The sequence below is a fragment of the Homo sapiens genome, chromosome 16 (genome assembly GCF_000001405.40).
Source record: "Homo sapiens chromosome 16, GRCh38.p14 Primary Assembly".
Lineage (NCBI taxonomy): Eukaryota > Metazoa > Chordata > Mammalia > Primates > Hominidae > Homo > Homo sapiens.
Window position 1 is genome coordinate 55460847 of NC_000016.10, and position 17863 is coordinate 55478709.

The 17863-nt window shown below is 47.7% G+C and overlaps 1 long non-coding RNA gene across 1 annotated transcript in view, besides 3 other annotated features; it reads right to left on the bottom strand.

Moving 5' to 3' along the window:
• The window catches only part of MMP2-AS1 (MMP2 antisense RNA 1), a 35501-nt gene extending 34050 nt beyond the window's left edge, over window positions 1-1451 (bottom strand). Inside the window, exon 1 of the long non-coding RNA NR_147198.1 lies at window positions 1329-1451. This is a non-coding gene — a long non-coding RNA (MMP2 antisense RNA 1). The remainder of the gene's footprint in view (window positions 1-1328) is intronic.
• Window positions 8915-9806: an enhancer, noted in NCBI's record as "NANOG-H3K27ac-H3K4me1 hESC enhancer chr16:55503673-55504564 (GRCh37/hg19 assembly coordinates)". NCBI's record gives its function as "activates a minimal SCP1, AML or CMV promoter by ChIP-STARR-seq in naive and primed H9 embryonic stem cells {active_cell/tissue: H9 hESC(naive and primed)}" and the evidence as "EXISTENCE:reporter gene assay evidence [ECO:0000049][PMID:30033119]".
• Window positions 9807-10697: an enhancer, noted in NCBI's record as "NANOG-H3K27ac-H3K4me1 hESC enhancer chr16:55504565-55505455 (GRCh37/hg19 assembly coordinates)". NCBI's record gives its function as "activates a minimal SCP1, AML or CMV promoter by ChIP-STARR-seq in primed H9 embryonic stem cells {active_cell/tissue: H9 hESC(primed)}" and the evidence as "EXISTENCE:reporter gene assay evidence [ECO:0000049][PMID:30033119]".
• Window positions 13582-14101: an enhancer, noted in NCBI's record as "NANOG hESC enhancer chr16:55508340-55508859 (GRCh37/hg19 assembly coordinates)". NCBI's record gives its function as "activates a minimal SCP1, AML or CMV promoter by ChIP-STARR-seq in primed H9 embryonic stem cells {active_cell/tissue: H9 hESC(primed)}" and the evidence as "EXISTENCE:reporter gene assay evidence [ECO:0000049][PMID:30033119]".

Sequence of the window (17863 nt, forward strand, 5' to 3'; positions counted from 1 at the left end):
CTTGCTCCCAACTGCTGCCTCACTAAGATAGACTCATTTTCAGATCTCTCTACGGATTGTAGCCTTTCCTGCAATTCCTGCCTGGATGGCTGCTCCTCCAGGCCTGGACTGGATGGAAGGTTCCAAGCGAGAACCTGCAGCATTTCTGCTTCTGCGGCATCATCCACCTCTGAGAACCACTCCAGAGGACAAGCTGAGGAGCCTTCCAAGAGCTCCATGTGTCTGTAAATGCCTTCAAAACCTGGTCTCAGTGCATCCTTTTTGCACCCACAGCCAGATAGCTGACCACACAACATCAGGATAGAGTGGTCACCACCCATTTTCTGTCATGGGAAAGGAAATTGCCCGGGAAAGGCCTTGCCCAGTGCAGACATGGCAGGCAATGCTGAGAGCTACAAAATCCTTCTAGAAGCTGTTGTCTTTCAGTTATTAAGACTATAAGGGCTGGGCATGGTGGCTCACACCTGTAATCCCAGCACTTTGGGAGGCTGAGGTGGGTGGATCACAAGGTCAGGAGTTTGAGACCAGCCTGGCCAACATGGCAAAACCCTGTCTCTGCTAAAAATACAAAAAAAAAAAAAATGCGCATGCCTGTAATCCCAGTTACTTGGGAGACTGAGGCAGGAGAATCGCTTGAACCTGGGAGGTGGAGGTTGCAGTGAGCCGAGATCACGCCACTGCACTCCAGACTGGATGACAAAGCAAGACTCCATCACGGAAAAAAAAAAAAAAAAAAAGAAGGCAGGCTGCCTAGCTTAGCTTTGCCATGACTAATCTACTTACCAGCTAAGCAACATTTGTGCAAGCTATTTCACCTCTGTGTGCCTCAGTTTCTTCATCTATAAAATAGAGATAATCATTTTACACCCCTCAATAAATGTCTTTTGAATCAATTAATGAATACTTGTAAAACACCTGGCATATTGTAAGCCCTTGTTAAATGTAAACTTTAAATGTTAAATGGTTTCTTTCTTTCTTTCTTTCTTTCTTTCTTTCTTTCTTTCTTTCTTTCTTTCTTTTCCTGTTTCTGTTCTCTCTCTCTCTCTTTCCCTCTTTCTCTCTTTCTCTCTTGGAAGGTCTCACTCTGTTGCCCAGGCTGGAGAGCAGTAGTGCAATCATGGCTCACTGCCTACAACCCCACCGTAAGTCCCTCTGGGATTCCATGATAGAGGTACTTATTCCAATTAGGGTCAAGCTGGAGGAAGAGGCGGCTGTGGCCTAGCTGTCAATTCCTCAGGGCTGGTCATTGGGGAGGAAGGGCAGGAACCAGCTGAGTTCACTGAGAGTTGGAACAGGAGACGCAGAAAGGTACAGATTTGGAAACTGACCTGGGTATCACAGTTAGGGCTCCAGGGCACTCCAGCCTGCGGTGGGAGTTTGTAGGTGTCTAAGCTGTGGCTGGGAGGGCAGTGGAAGAAAGTCAAGCTGTGCCAATTTTCCTATTTGAAGAGAAAGGGAGCAGGGGAACCAGAGTTCTAGGTGACACCATCGGGAAGACAAGCTGTGTCCTCAGCCCGGCCTGGGGGGAGGACTGGGTTGCAACTTACAGGAAAGAGGATTGACTGGATTCTTAGAAAAACAAGAGCCAAGGCTTGTTGCTGTGCAGAGGGATTGGGGTCACCAGCTGGCTGTTGTTACCGTGACTGATTCCTGATGCTTCGGAATTCAAGGGCAGGAGGCACTTGGGGCACTGGCTGAACCTTGGCTCCCTGACCCCTCCTCAGTCCCCTTCCTGGGCTCCACAACATATAAGATGAACGTTCTGATTGTCTATTTCTCCTCCCTTCTCGTTTTACTCTTCATTTGGTGGAGTGTATGGTAGGGATAAAATCTTAGAGATGTTTATCTGAGCCATAGAGAGACCTTATTGGGGGTGCATGGGAAATACACAAGTAATCCCAAGCTCACCTTGCCTGGGTGCCTGCGGAGGGCAATTGTGCATTAGCGGTAGAGTGTGGTGGGGACCTGGGCCTGGGTGGGCAGGGGAGAGCTTCTGGACAGGGGCTGGTGGATTAAGGTCATGCCCATAGGTGGGAAGCCACCCACACAGAATCACAGCATCTCAGAAGGGCAGTGCCAGAAAAATCCCCAGGGACCTCATTTTCCTTGGAACACAACCCAATTCCTTGGCTTGGCCAACCAGGCCTAGCGCATCTGGGCCCAACTTCATCTGCCTTCATTCCTCCACTGCATCAGTAGGGTCATTTGGGTGTAGGCCACAGAAGTAAACTCTGGCAACATAAGCGAAGGGGGATTTGTTAGAATAGGATAAGGGAGCCAGGCAACTGGAGCAGACATCAAGGTGGGAACACCAGGCCTCAGGGTCCCGCAGTTGCTGTGCCTGGGCTGCCATTGTTCCATCTGTATCTATGTCACGCGAGGTCATATGAGTGGGCCGGGCACGGTGGCTCACGTCTGTCATCCCAGCACTTTCAGGTGGATCACCTGAGGTCAGGAGTTCGAGACCAGCCTGGCCAACATGGTGAAACCCTGTCTCTACCAAAAATATAAAAATTTGCCAAGCCTGGTGGTGGGCATCTGTAATCCCAGCTACTCAGGAGGCTGAGGCAAGCTAATTGCTTCAACCCAGGAGGCAGAGGTTGCAGTGAGTCGAGGTCATGCCATTGCACTCCAGCCTGGGTGACAAGAGTGAAACTCTGTCTCAAAAAAAAAAAAAAAAAAAAAAAACCATATGAGTGTCCCATTGGCTCAGCCTAGATTACAGCCCCACCCTGGCAGGGTAGTAGGAGGAAGGCTTAGAACTGTCTTGGCTTCTGAAGAGGGCAGGACAGTAACCCAATCCACCTTCCCAGAAACACTGTCCTCAGTGGGGAGGAGGGACAACTCCCAAGGAGATGGGGACACATGCTCGCCAACCAAACCCACAAAAGCTCATTGTGCCTGTCGCTCTGCTCCAGCCACAGTGGCCTTCTTCTGTTCTTCAAATACAAAAAAGCTTGTTCCCACCCCAGGGCCTTTGCACTTGCCATCTGCTCTACCTGGAACACTCTTCCCCTTGTTCTGCATGTGACTGCTTCATTTTCCTCCTTCAGGACTCACACCTAACAAGGGCCTCCAAGAGGCCCTCCCTGACGACCCATTCTCAAGTTGCCCTCATCAGATAATCTTGACCTCATCCCTCCCAGGTCTCCTAGCCATCTAAAATTACCTTGTGTATGAGTCTGTTTGCTCTGTATTGCCTGTCTCCCCACTGGAATGCAAACGCCACAAGAGCAATGACTGCGGTTAATTGCTGCTATATATCCAGCACTCAGCACAGGGCTTAATAAGCATTTACCAGGCAAATAAACATATAGAGACAGAGAGCCCCAGAGGGACGGTGCTTTGGCCGAGGATGCCCAGAGAAAATACTGATGTCATTGAGGGTGCAGAAGCCAAATCTTGCTTGCTCCGGGGGCACTGGATGGCACCAGCCTAAGAGTGTGGGCACCAGAGCAGATTGCCTGGGTCAACACTCACTCTCTGTGTAACCTTGAGTGAGTTTCTTAACTTCTCTGTGCCTTGGTATCCTCATGCATAAAGAGATGACCATAATAATAATGCATTCTCAGGGGCTGTGGCAAGGATCACATGAACTAATACATGTAAAGTACTTAGAACAGGGCCTAACAATATTGTAACACTGTCAACAAGTGCAAGCTATTATGATTGGAAGACTTCCATGTCCTTATTTCTGATTGACAGGTCACTGCCCAGCCCCACCCTCGACCCAACCAGGATGAAGAATGGGCAAGCCAGATAGCTACAGTAATCGACAGACAGACAAACAAGAGCATCGTATGACCCAGGGGCCAACAAGTCCCACCCCAGTGACACCATCTCACTTTTGCAGAGCTCTTGCTCGCAAAGTGCAGCTAGGAGAACCCAGGCCTCCTGATGACAAATGCTCCTTCTTTCTGCCCCCCACGTGCCAAGAGCGAGGAGGGAAGATAGCTGCTGGCTCACTGTGTGGTCGTGGGTGAGTACATGTTACTCTCTGGGTCCCCATTTCCTCAACTTTAAATTGCAAACAAGAACCTCAGCCTGTCCCGTCTCCCTCTTAAGAGGATAAGTAGTGCCAATAAATAGTAAATGAGCTTTCTGAGACGTAAAGTGGATGCTGATTTTATTACCAAACAGGTGAGGAGCAGGTGCAAATAATTCAGCAGAAGTATTTGTACGGTCATGATTCTCAAAATTTTCCAGAGTTAAGAATCGCACGGGAATCTTGTTTAAAATATAAATTCTGTGGATGCATTCCCCCAAATTCTGATTATGTAGCTCTAAGATGGAGTCCCAGAATTTTTTAAAAAACCTCATCCTCAGGCGATGCTGAGGCTGAAGCTAATGGACCGTGATTGTGCATTAAAGCCACTAGATGGTGCCATGAGCCCAGAGAATGGGCTGATCTAGGCCGCTCTGAGCCCTGAGGCTGCTTCTCCAAAAGTGGCCACCAGATGGCGCAGCCTATCTGCAGAAGGAAGCGCGCCTTAGAAATGTGGGATCGGGGCTGGAGTCACCCCGCCTTAGCGAACCTGTGGTCTGAGAGAACAGATCCTTCCCTGCCCAGGTAATTCTAAGCCCAAGGAGGAGCTCGGCGGCCAAGGAGGCCCAGTTCTATTGTAGGGTAATGAGCATCCAACCCCATCCTCATCAGAGCGTCATTGGCCAATGGTCTGGGCGCCTCCTCCCAGCACAAAAACCTTGCACTCAGTAAGTACTCACCAAAGACTTTTGATCTTTTGATTTGGACAGATACACACACACACACACACGCATATATAAACATACATACACACACACGTATACACATACACACATATATATCCACACGCACACATACACACACATATAAACATACACACAAACACACACGTGCATATATACACACATATCTACATACACACATATATACACACGTGTACACATACACATACACACACATCCATGCACACATATATACACATACATACTCATACAACACACACATATACACATATATACACACACACACACCTGTACACGCACACATACACATACACACAGGCCTGCTTGGTGAACACTGTAGGGAACACATTATTATAAAGATAATGATCAATTACTAGATATCTACTGCATGCATTCCAGGCACTGTAAACACCAACAAATTCTTGCCACAGCCCTGAGAGAGAGTTGCTACAATTATTGGACAAATAAAGGGAGTGAGGCTCTATGAGGTTGTCACCTGGGGTCACATGATCTGGAAGCCATATTCAGTACCCAAACATGGCTGCAGATGAAGGGCTCGGAATCAAGGAGGACTTCCTGGAGGCAAGGAGTTTTGAGCTGCCTTTGAAAGTAGGGTAGAGTTGCAGATGGGTCAAAGGGAGGGCATTTGGAGAACATCCCTAAACTAGGGGGAACCAGTGAGCTGAGGGCAGTGGAGGGTCAGAGGGATGTTGGCTGCAGGGATGCCACAAAGAGGCACGAGACAGCAGAGTGGGGAGCTGGGCAGAGAGAGAACCCAGCCGTGGAAAAGGTAGCAGCAGCTGCAGAAGAAAGAATCAACGATTCGGGTTCCAGTACTGTGCTTACTTGCTGTGTGTCCTTGGTCAAATTCCTTAACTTCTCTGGGCTCACTTTTCCCATCATAGTCATAGCCTAGTCACCCCTGGATTTACTGGGAGGACTGAGTACAACAACCTGTGTGAAAATGCCTGGCACAGTTCCTGGCTCAAAGTGAGCCCAGGGGATTTCTGTTTGTCCTCCCTTTGTTGTGTGGCCCAGGCAAATACTTTCCTGTGCCTCAGTTTCCCCATCTCTCCGGGAAGTCTATGTAATGTGGTGGTTAGGTGGAAAGGCTATGGCATTAGAGAACCCCAAGGCATATCCTGATGCTGATATTAAGTGTGCGGCCACGAGTAAGTCATCCTCTCTGTGCCTCAGCTTCCTCAACTATTAAACAGGTTGCTAACCATGCCACCCGTTTCAAAGAAATACCCTGGAAATTAACATCCATAAAAGACCTACCACAGTGCCTGACATGCAGTCAGTGCTCAGTCTCTCTCCCAGCATTGGCTGTCATTAAACAGGGAAATTGAATTGGATCATCTCTGGGAATTGTGCAGATCTGATATGCTGGTCTTCAGTTTGCAGCCCCTAACTGCCCAAGGACCCCACTTCTGGCTATGCCCCGATCTGGGCCTCTCCTTTCTCCGACCATTTGTGGTCTTCGATTCTACAGGAAGGCAGGCCTGGAAAGGCTACCAGTAACAAATGTGTGGCTACCATGTTCCCTTTCCTCTGGAAAAGTATTGTCCCCAACCCCACCCCACCTAAGGGACAGTGCCTTAACCCAAAGGAACAAGTGTCCATGAGGAACCCATGGTGCTATGGGGGATTTTCACAGGATGGACTGCCTAGGAGGCCCAGACTTTGAGACAAAGAGTAAGCAGAAGATTTATCAGGAAGTGTTCTCGGGGTCACCACCCTCAGAAGGGGAAGGAAGGAAGTGGAATGGGGCAGGTAGAGAAGGTGGGCTGCTGTGCAGTCTCCACAAAGGCCTCATCCCACCTCACAGGGAAGCTCTAGAACTGAACGGCACTTCAGAAGTGTTCTAAATTGGGCTGGGCGCGGTGGCTCACACCTGTAATCCCAGCATTTTGAGAGACCAACGCGGGTGGATCGCTTGAGGTCAGGAGTTCGAGACTCCCCAGGCCAACATGGTGAAACCCTCTCTCTACTAAAAATACAAAAATTAGCCAGGCATGTTAGCAAACACCTGTAATCCCAGCTACTCAGGAGCCTGAGACAGGAGAATCACTTAAACCTGGGAGGCAGAGGTTGTAGTGAGCTGAGATCACGACTGCACTCCAGCCTGGGTGACAGAGTGAGACTCTGTCTTAAAAAAAAAAAAAAAAGAAAAAAGAAAAAAAGGAAGTGTTCCAAATTGGGAAAAGGAGGGAGTGGAGCCTTTCTAATTGGGCACCAACCAACCTTGGATGCCTTGCTCCAGGAAAAGACGTGACCTTCAGGGAGGCTGGTCCCTTCTGCCAGGGCAGCATCATACTAGCAGCTGGACATAGGTCCTCCAATCAGAGGCAGATCTGGGTGGGTAGCGTCCTCTCTGCAGCCTCCCCCAGTAGAGGAGCCCAAGCTGGTCTGAGCACATTCCCGTACAGCACAGGGAGTTCGCTGCTTGGTTTCCAACTAGCTCCCCATAACCTGGGCTTCCCAGGGTTGCTCAAACAGCAGCAGGAATGTGGCCCCTTCCTCACTGATGTCCTGGTGCTCCATGGGGGCCAGATCTCTACTCTGATCTCTTCCACCCCATGGTGCCCAGGGAAAACCCAACCCCCAGAAGCACAGGAAATGGCAAGGTCACTGCCTGGCTTAGTGACCTGCAGACAGACAGACTCACACCAGGACCTATGGCAATTCACTAGCCTTATCCACTGAAGACTCCTTCCCTGGGGGATGAGTCCTGCTGGGGAGAAGCTTAGTGGTGGCCTTTCCAAGGTTACACTTCTATTGCCCAGGAGCTTTTAGGTACAAATAATAGAAACGTTACTGAAATTGGACTAAGTATAAAAAGGGCTCACTAGACTGAAAAATCCAAGACTAGATTGGTTTCAGGTATAGCTGGATCCAGGATCTCAAACAGCATCACAAGGCCATGTCTTCTGTTCCCCTGCTCCTCTCTGAGGAGCCCCTTGCCCCAGACAGACACGTTCAACAGTCTCCTATGCCCATTCCTGAAGTTAGCATCATGTCCCTGAGGGATCAAGTCTCCCACCGACCTGGGGCACATGGCTGGTAGGGACACCTGCTTTCTTGAGGACAGCCTAGTCTGCTGTGAGCAGAACAGAGAGTGGGGGTGAGCAGGCACAAGCAACAGCTGCCCCAGCGCCACATCCTAACCAGTCCTGACCATCCCAGCCAGAGGCCACACATTTGGACAAAACCAAAGTAAGAGGCTGTGGCTAAGAACACAGCAGGGAGAGATGGGGAAGTGGGCCGGGGCAGAGTCTTGGAGGACACAGTGACTCAGGGATTCAGAGACCCCACGTTGGGTGGTGGAGAGAAAATTGGATGGGGGAAGCAATGAGCAAGGTGGGGGTGGCAAGGAAGGAAGCCAACTGCCCGCTTATCCTTCCCATCCCAGCCAGAATCTTCAAGCTGTCTTAAGATCCTGGAGTCCACCCATGAGTCCACGCTAGGCCAAAGAGGGTCTCACCAGTCCTCTGTCTTGCTAAGGTCCCTCAGGGAAGTGGGCCTACCTTATGAACCCTTTAAATCCTCATTCTTTTTATTTGCTGTTGGGAAGTCCCACCTAGAGCCTACCCTAAATTTCTCCTGCTGTTGGTTACAAATAAACAATTCTACCTTCAGACTGCCAAGTCTAAAGTGGTCTATCCTTACCTTACCTCCACATGGCAGAAAGGGAAGCTCTAGGATGGAACCTGTGCCTTTATAAGACAAGAAAATCCCTAGAGTTTTGAGTCAGCAAAATGACTCCTGAGCAGCCCAGGGCAGAGCCCCCAGTGCTCTGTTTAGCCTTTCCTTCTACCCTGGGGACCACCCCACCATACCCAACTCCAGTTACCGGGCCTGCCTTTCCATCTCCCCATATCTAGGGAAGTATCATTCATTTCTTCAACCATGTATTTATTGAACAGATGTATATTGAGCACCCACTATGTGCAAAACCCTGTTCTAAGTACTGGAGATGCAGCTGACATTCAAGGGCAGGAGTCAATTTTAAAAAGTCAGAAATTAAAGTAACAAGATTGTTTCAAGACAGCAGTAGCTGCCAGAAATGAAATAACACAGGAGTGACTGGTTTTAGGGGATGGTCAGTCAAGGAAGGCTTTGCTGAGGAGGTGGCACTGGAGCTGAGACCTTAAAGATGAGAAGCTTTGCAGTTCAAGGGAACATTGAATGCAAAATCCAGTGGGGACAGATGTGTTAGTTGCGTCCTCCAGGAATCAGAGTCTGAGATGAAGCTATAAGTTTGGGGGACTAAGAAAAAAAAGGGGGAATGAAGCATATTTGAAAAGAGAGAATCTCAGACCTCCACACAGCTCTGAAAAGTATCAACCCACCCAATGGGGAGCTCTGGAGAAAGGATAGAGTCCCACATTTAGGCAGATACACCAGGCTCTAGCCCCCTGCCGTGCTTAACCATTAGCTGGGGCTTGACTGAAAGGAGGATGGCTTAGGCTTAAAGGCTGAGGCTGTCATTTCACTGCATTCTGCTGCTGAATGGCAAGTTCTTTCTTTTTCTTTTCTTTTCTTTTTTTTTTTTTGAGACAGGATCTTGTTCTGTCTCCCAGGGTGGAGTTCAGTGGCGCAATCTTGGCTCACTGCAACCTCCACCTCCGGGGTTCAAGCAATCCTCCCACCTCAGCCTCCTGAGTAGCTGGGACTACAGGCATGCACCACCACTCCTGGCTAATTTTTAATGGAGATAGGGTTTCACCATGTTGGTTAGGCTGGTCTCGAACTCCTCACCTCAAGTGATCCACATGCCTCGGCCTCTCAAAGTGTTGGGATTACAGGCGAGAGCGACTGAGCCCGGTCTGCAAGTTCTTTCTTAAAAGAAGACCCGAGCAGCCACCTTTATGGCCCTCACCACAGGGTTGCTATCTTTCAGGAATAGAGAGAAGGCTAGTGTGGCCCAAGCTGAAAGATCAAGGGAAAGAATGCAAAGATAGAAGCCAGAGCTGGGCCCTCCTCTTTGCCTCCCCAGGTGGCTCTGCACCTCCCACCCTCAGACTGCATTGCCCAGCTCCTGTGCTCCCTGGGATGGACTGGGTTCTGCCAATGGGAAGCCTGGCAAAAGATCAGAAGGAGAGAGGAGAATAAAGTCAGTGTGTTTATTTCCGGATTCCTCCTGGGAGGTTGCCTGGGGCTGGCTGCTTCATTCATGGCCTCTGCTGTGTGCAATTTTCCCTCCTTTTGGGTTCCAGGAACTGCTCCCTCTGGTCAGCCCTCTGGGCCTGGTGCTTCTGGCCCAGGTCCCTGCGTGCCACCCCTTGGCTTCCCTTATACCCTACCCCTGTGCTTTGGAATTAATCCATCATCAGTAAGCTCTCCTCGAATTATCCTTATCCGGGAGGGCCATCTGCTCCCTCCTGGGATCCCGATTGCTGCAGAGAGGTCACAGCAGGGTGTGGAGGGTTCTGCAGGCTGTGGCAAGGAGTTGTGGTTTTATTTAAGAGTAAGTCAAAGTTGGCAAAGGGTTTTAAGAACAGTAACCAGGACTTCTGAGCCTCTGGAGCTTGGAATCCATGAGCCTGGTGTTGAGGAGCCCAGCAGAGAACCTAAATCTTCTGGGATGTCTTGGCCCTGGGGAACGCCCTGCCTCTGCTCCTTAAGGGCTGTGTGTTCCAGCCCACTTTTGGGCCCTTGAATGCTTCTCAGATGTACCTGGGACCTGTGACAAAACCAAGGAGGGCAGGGACCTCGGGTAGAGGGTCTCTGTAGCCTTCATGCTCTTTCTGGCCTTTCCTTCTACCCTGGGGACCACCCCACCAGCCCTAACTCTGTTTACTGAGCCTGCCCTTCCATCTGCTCATATGTATGGAAGAATCATTCATTTCTTCAACCATTTATTTGTTCAACAGATATTTATTGAGTACCTACTATGTGCAAAACCCCGTTCTAAGTACTGGAAACACAACTGACATTCTAGTTCAGAAGTCAATAAAGAAGTCAGAAATAAAAGTTACAAGATTGTTTCAAGACAGCAGTAGCTTCCAGAAATGAAATAACACAGAGGTGACTCATTTTAGGGGATGACTAGTCAAGCAAGGCTTCACTGAGGAGGCAGCACTGGAGCTGAGACCTTAAAGATGAGAAGCTTTGCAGTTTCTTATCTTTAAGATGGGAGGTTTCTCGGCTAAGAGGTTTCTCAGCTAAAGTCTTTCACTGTTTCAGTCAAGACTTTCAGGTTGCAAGTGACAGAAACTCAACCCAGGCAGCTTTAAGCAAAAAACAAAACAAAACTCAAAGTTGAGAGGAGGAGATTTATTGGCTCACAAACTAAAAAGTGAAGGATACTTCTGGCTACAGGCAGGGCTGGGTCCAGGGTTTCCACTGATTTTTTGGCTCTGTTCCCATTGGTGAAGCTTCAACCTCGGGAAGCCTCTATCTAACCTTAAAGGTAGCTCCACGCTTAGGTCAGACCAACTTCATTTACAGGTGAAAGTGTAGGTGCATCCCAAATAGAGGCATAACTCCTAGAGGTTGCAAGTTCAATTCCAGGCAGCCACCATGAAGCAAATATTGCAATAAAGCAAGTGACACACAGTTTTTGGTTTCCCAATACATATAAAAGTTATGGGCAGGGCATAGTGGCTCACACTTGTAATCCCAGCAATTTGGAAAGCTGAGGGGGGAACATTGCTTAAGCCCAGGAATTTGAGACCAGCCTGGGCAACATAGTGAGACCCTGTCTCCACAAAAAAAATCAAAAAAATTAGCTGGGCATGGTAGTGCATACCTGTGGTCCCAGCTACTCGGGAGGCGGATGTGGGAGTATCACTTGAGCCCAGGAGGTAGAAGCTGCAGTGAGCCATGATTGTATCACTGCACTCCAGCCTTGGTGACACAGTAAGACCCTGATTATAAAAAAACCAGTTATGTTTACATTACATTATAGTCTATTAAGTGTGTAATAGCATTATGTTTAAAAAAAAGTACATACTCTAATTTAAAAACACTTGATTGGTAAAAAAAAAAAAAAAAAAAAAAAAAAAAAAAAAAAAAAAAGAGCACCATCATCTGAGCCTTCAGTGAGTCATAGTCTTTTTGCTGGCAAAGAGTGTTGCCTCATTGTTAATGGCTGCTAACTGATCAGGGTGGTGGCTGCTGAAGGCTGGGGTGGCTGTGGCAATTGCCTAAAATAAGACAACAATAAAGTTTGCTGCATTGATTGACCGTTCTTTTCACAAAAGATTTCTCTGCAGCATGCAATGCTGTTTGATAGCATTTTATCTACACTAGAACTTCTTTTAAAATTCAAGTAAATCCTCCCAAACCCTGCCACCACTCCTTTATCAACTAAGTTTATGGAATATTCTAAATCCTTTGTTGTCATTTCAACAATGTTCACAGCATCTTCACCAAGAGTAGGTTTTTGTCTCGAGAAACCACTTTCTTTGCTCATCCATAAGCAGCTCCTTATCCATTCAAGTTTGATCATGAGATTATAGCAATTCAGTCACATCTTTAGGCTCCACTTCTAATTCTAATTCTCTTGTTATTTCTGTCACATCTGCAGTTACTTCCTCCACTGAAGTCTTGAACCTCTGAAAGTCATCCATGAGAGTTGCAAATGACTTCTTCCAAACTCCTGCTAATGTTGATATTTTGACCTCCTCCGATGAAATCATGAATGTTTTTAAGGGCATCTGAAACGGTTAATCCTTTTCACAAGATTTTCAATTTACTTTGCCCAGATCCATCAGAGGAATCACTATGTATGACAGCTATAGCCTTATGAAATAAATTTCTTAAATAATAAGACTTGAAAGTCAGAATTACTCCTCGATCCATGGGCTGCAGAATGGATGTTGTGTTAGCAGGCATGAAAACATGAATCTCATACATCTCAATCAGAGCTCTTGGGTGGCCAGGTGCCTTCTCAATAAGCAGTAGTAGTTTGAAAGAAATTTTCGTAAGGGCCCAATATTTTTGAATTAGCGGGCAAGCATTGGCTTCAACTTAAAGCCACTAGCTGCATTAACCCCTGACAAGAGAGTCAGCCTGTCCTTTGAATCAGGCATTGACTTCTCATCTCTAGATATAAAAGTCCTAGATGGGATCTTCTTTCAGTAGAAGGCTGTTTCATCTACACTGAAAATCTGTTGTTTAGTGTAGCCACCTTCATCAATGGTCCTAGCTAGACCTTCTGGATAACTTGCCGCAGCTTCTCCATCAGCACTTACTGCTTACCTTGCACTTTTATCTTATGGAGACGGCTTCTCTTCTTAAACCTCATGAACCAACCTCTGCTAGCTTAAACTTTTCTTCTGCAGCTTCCTCACCTCTCTCAGCCTTCATAGAGTTGAAGAGAGTTAGAGCCTTGCTCTGGACTAAGCTTTATCTTAAGGGAATGTTATGGCTGTTTTGTTCTTCTCTCCAGACCACTCAAACTTTGTCAGTATCAACAATAAGGCTGTTTCACCTTCTTATAATTTGTGTGTTTACTGGGATAGCACTTTGAATTTTCTTTAAGAGCTTTCCTTTGCATTCACAACTTGGCTACCTGGTGCAAGAGGCCTAGTTTTTGGTCTCTCTGGGCTTTTGACATGCCTTTCTCACTAAGCTTAGACATTTCTAGCTTTTGACGTAAAGTGAGAAATGTGCAACCATCCCTTTCACCTGAACACTTAGAGGCCATTGTAGAGTTATTAACTGGCCTCATTTTGATATTGTTGATTGTAGGGTCTAGGGAGGCCCACAGAAAGGGAGAGAAATGAGGAATGGCCAGTCAGTTGGTAAAGCAGTCAGAACACACACATTTACAAGGGTGATTTAGTTCACCCTTGTATATGGGCACAGTTTGTTTTCACTCACGTCCATCTGAAGAGACCACCAAACAGGCTTTCTGTGAGCAACAAGGCTGTTTATTTCACCTGGGTGCAGGCGGGTTGAGTCCAAAAGGAGAGTCAGCGAAGGGAGATAGGGGTGGGGCCGTTTTATAGGATTTGGGTAGGTAAAGGAAAATTACAGTCAAAGGGGAGTTGTTCTCTGGCGGGCAGGGGTGGGGGGTCACAAGGTGCTCAGCAGGGGAGCTTTTGAGCCAGGATGAGCCAGGAGAAGGAATTCCACAAGGTAATGTCATCAGTTAAGGCAGGGACTGGCCATTTTCACTTCTTTTGTGGTGGAATGTCATCAGTTAAGGCAGGAACAGGCCATCTGGATGTATACGTGCAGGTCACAGGGGATATGATGGCTTAGCTTGGGCTTGGAGGCCTGACATTTGTGGCACTTCAAAACAATTAACTAGTAAGATCAGAGATCACTGATCACAGATCACTATAACAGATATAATAACAATGAAAAATTTGGAAATATGGCAAGAATTACCAAAATGTGACACGGAGACAGGAAGTGAGCACATGCTAATGGAAAAATGACATCAGTAAGCTTGCTTGACGCAGGGTAGTCACAAACCTTCAATTTGCAAAATTGCTATCTCTGCACAGCACAGTAGGGCAAAGTGTGAATAAAATGAGGTAACCTGTACCTCCAGCTAAAGTCCCAGAATTAACTTTCCTTGGCTCCAGTGGATTCACAAGCCGGTATCTGAATCATCACCTCACCAAGATGCCTGGATCTGCCTTTTAGCCCAGCTTGGGTCACATTGCCACTGTGGAGCCAGGAGGTGGGTCACATCTGCTGAATTCAGACCTAGAGTTGGGGAGAAGTAGCTTCCCAATGGGAAACTAAGGGGCAGCTACTAAAAGTAGGAGGACAGGGTCTTGGGAAGGCTTACATGGCACACGGCCACTACCTCCCTCAATGCTCTGTCCCCTGCTTAGTGTCCCGCACTGTAATTTCTGCCTCTTCATCAATAAAACACCACCTTAATGCCACTGTACCCCAGCACCAAAAACAGTGTTCATCAAAAACTTCCCGAATAAATGACAGAATTCATGTCATATCGCGACGTCTTCTAATCACAGCCTGCGTAGTTTTCTGGGGCTGCTGTAAAAAAGCACTACAGACTGGGTGGCTTACAACAGAAATTTATTCTCTCAGAGCTCTGAGACTAGAAGTCCAAAACCAACATGTCAGCAGGGCCACGCTCCCTCTGAAGCCTCTGGGGGAAGAATTCCTTCTTGTCTCTTCTAGCTTCTGGGTTGCAGGCAACTCCTTGGGTTGCAGGCATTGCTCCAATTTCTGCCTCCATGGTCACATGGAGTTCTTCTTGCTGTGTGTCTCTGTGTCCAAAGTTTTGTCTTCTTATCATGACAACAGGCTTTGGATTAGAGCCCACTCATCTTAACTTGATTGTATCTGCAAAGACCCTATTTCCATGTGAGGGCACAGTCACAGGCATTGGGACTTGAACATATCTTTTTGGCAACACAATTATATCCACTAAACAGCATTTTTGCATCTATATTAAGAATGACTAAAAGATGCTGCAGTAACAAACATATCCCAAAAGCTCCATGGTTCGTTGCCTAAGAGTTTGTTTTTCACTTACGAAGTCTGTAGTGGGTCTGGTTGCTTTCATTTTACGACTTTGCTAGATCAACACAGGGCTCCCAGGGTTACCGTGGCAGGGGAAGAGAGATATACAGGAGTGCACAGGGGCCCTGGAGCATATTGCATGTGCTCACCAACAAGCCCATTATCATCAGATACTGCCTGTTCTCTCCTCGTCCCCTGGGCCATTCTAGGCCCCAAGTGAGGGTTCTTGGATCTCACACAAGAAGGAATTTGAGGCAAGTCCATAAAGTGAAAGCAAGTTTATTAAGAAAGTAAGGGAATAAAAGAATGGCTATTTCATCGGCAGATCAGCCCCAAAAGCTGCTGGTTGCCCATTTTTATGGTTATTTCTTGATTATATGCTAAACAAGGGGTAAATTATTCATGCTTCTGCCTTTTAGGCCGTATAGGATAACTTCCTGACGTTGCCATGGCATATGTAAACAGTCGTGGCGCTGGTGGGAGTGTGGCAGTAAGGCTGACCAGAGGTTTTTCTCATCATCATCTTGGTTTTGGTGGGTCTTGGCCAGCTTCTTTACTGCAACCTGTTTTATCAGCAAGGTCTTTATGACCTGTATCTTGTGCCAGCCTCCTATCTCATTTCGTGATTAGGATTGCCTTAATTTACTGGTAATGCAGGCCAGCAGGTCTTAGTCTAACCCCTATTCAAGATGGAGTTGCTCTGGTTCCAATGCCTCTGACATAGTCATTGCTGGGCACAGAAGCCTCTCTCTCACTGAGTGCTGCTTCTGCAGCCATTGCCATCTCTGAATGGGCACCAAGCCCCACACTGGAAACCGATACCCTTGGAATGCCAAAACCACAGAGGCTGTGAAGAGGTACAGTCAAAGCTGCCCTCTGCCAGAGGAGCTCCAAAGCATGTTATGCAGACTCCAGAGACTTTCTGAAAAGGTTAAAACTCAAATTGGGCAAGTGTAAATGAACAACACCTAGTGAAGGGAGTCACATACAAGGCAATACAATAGAGAGTGGTGAGGACTGTGGCAAACCAAAGTATGTGCCTCATCTAAAGGGAGCAGTCACTACTCAACTTCAGCAAATTATTGCCATATGGAAACTGGCATCCAGTATTGCCAGATTTTTGGGAAATTTTTTTAAAAAAAGAAAACCAGAAAGTCAGATTTTTACATGAAGTTTCCCAAATTTCAAAATGCTGTTCAGGCTGGATTTAGCCCACAGGCCACGAGTTTGCAGCCCCTGCTTTAGTGAGATAACTTTTTCCATTTTCACTCTCAGCTCTCAGCTCTCCAACTTGGCTCTCTGGCTATCCACAGGACGTGGACATGAGCCCAGTGGGGCTGGGCCAGGAGGCAATCCCCCTTCCCAACTGACCTCAGTCTCGCCCTCTCCAAAACAGCCAAGGTTTGTCACTGGGTCAGGCTGAAGGGCCTGGCTCCCTCCTGCGGGGCAAGGTCCCTCCCAAGAGGGTCCTTTAAAACTGACTCTGGAAAGTCAGAGCACACACCCACCAGACAAGCCTGAACTTGTCTGAAGCCCACTGAGACCCAAGCCGCAGAGACTTTTCTAGCTGTGATGATCAAGACATAATCGTGACCTCCAATGCCCCCCACAAGTATATTGCTCCTGATTCTTTCAGCCCCTGACCTTACTTCTCAAACTGTTCCCTGCTGACCCCCAGTCCTATCTGCCCCCTTCCTAGGCTGGTCCTTACTGACCCCTCCAGCTCCATCCCCTCACCCTGTGCCCCACCTTTTTCAGATAGAAAAAACTTTCTTCTCCAGTGCCTCTTGCTGTTTTTCATCTCTGGGCCATTGTCAATGTTCCCTAAAACATTCCCCATATTCCCCACCCAGCACTCCACCTCTTTAGCTCTTCAGGTCTCAGCTCAGAAGTCACTTCTTCCAGGAAGCCTTCCTTGATTGTCTTTACTAGTTTAGGGGCTGAAGTCAGGCGTTCCCAACAGCCTGCTGGAGTTCCCCATCACAGCTTATCTCTCAACTGTCTTTCCTGAGAGAGGGAGAAGACATTCCTCAGAGACGGTTGTCACAGGGAGAACTTCAAAATTGGGATTCGACCTGAGAGGCCACATGGATTCTTGGCTTGGCGCAGGAAAGGATTCAAGAGTGAGTGGGGAATTCGTGGAACTGAGGGCTCCTCCCCTTTTTAGACCATATAGGGTAAACCTCCCCACATTGCCATGGCATTTATAAACTGCCATGGCACTGGTGGGTGCTTCCTTTAACATGCTAATGCATTATAATTAGCGTAAAATGAGCAGTGAGGATGACCAGAGGTCGCTTTCTTTGCCATCTTGGTTTTGGCTGGCTTCTTCACTGCATACTGTTTTATCAGTGGGGTCTTTGTGACCTCTATCTTATTAAACCAGTCTTGCCCAATTTCTATCTCATCCTGTGACCGAGAATGCGGACCCTCCTGGGAGTGCAGCCCAGCAGGTCTCAGCCTCATTTTACCCAGCCCCCTGTTCAAGATGGAGTCGCTCTGGTTCCAACGTCTCTAACGCGGGGCCCCTGACTGCTCTATTTCCCAAGGTGTATCTAGCATCTCGCACTATACGAGGCCAAGTTAAGGCTTACACATTTGCAGAAGGAAAGAGGTAAGGAAGCAACCTGGGACCTTCCACTGTCTCTGTTTCCATCTCTCTCTTTCCATCTCT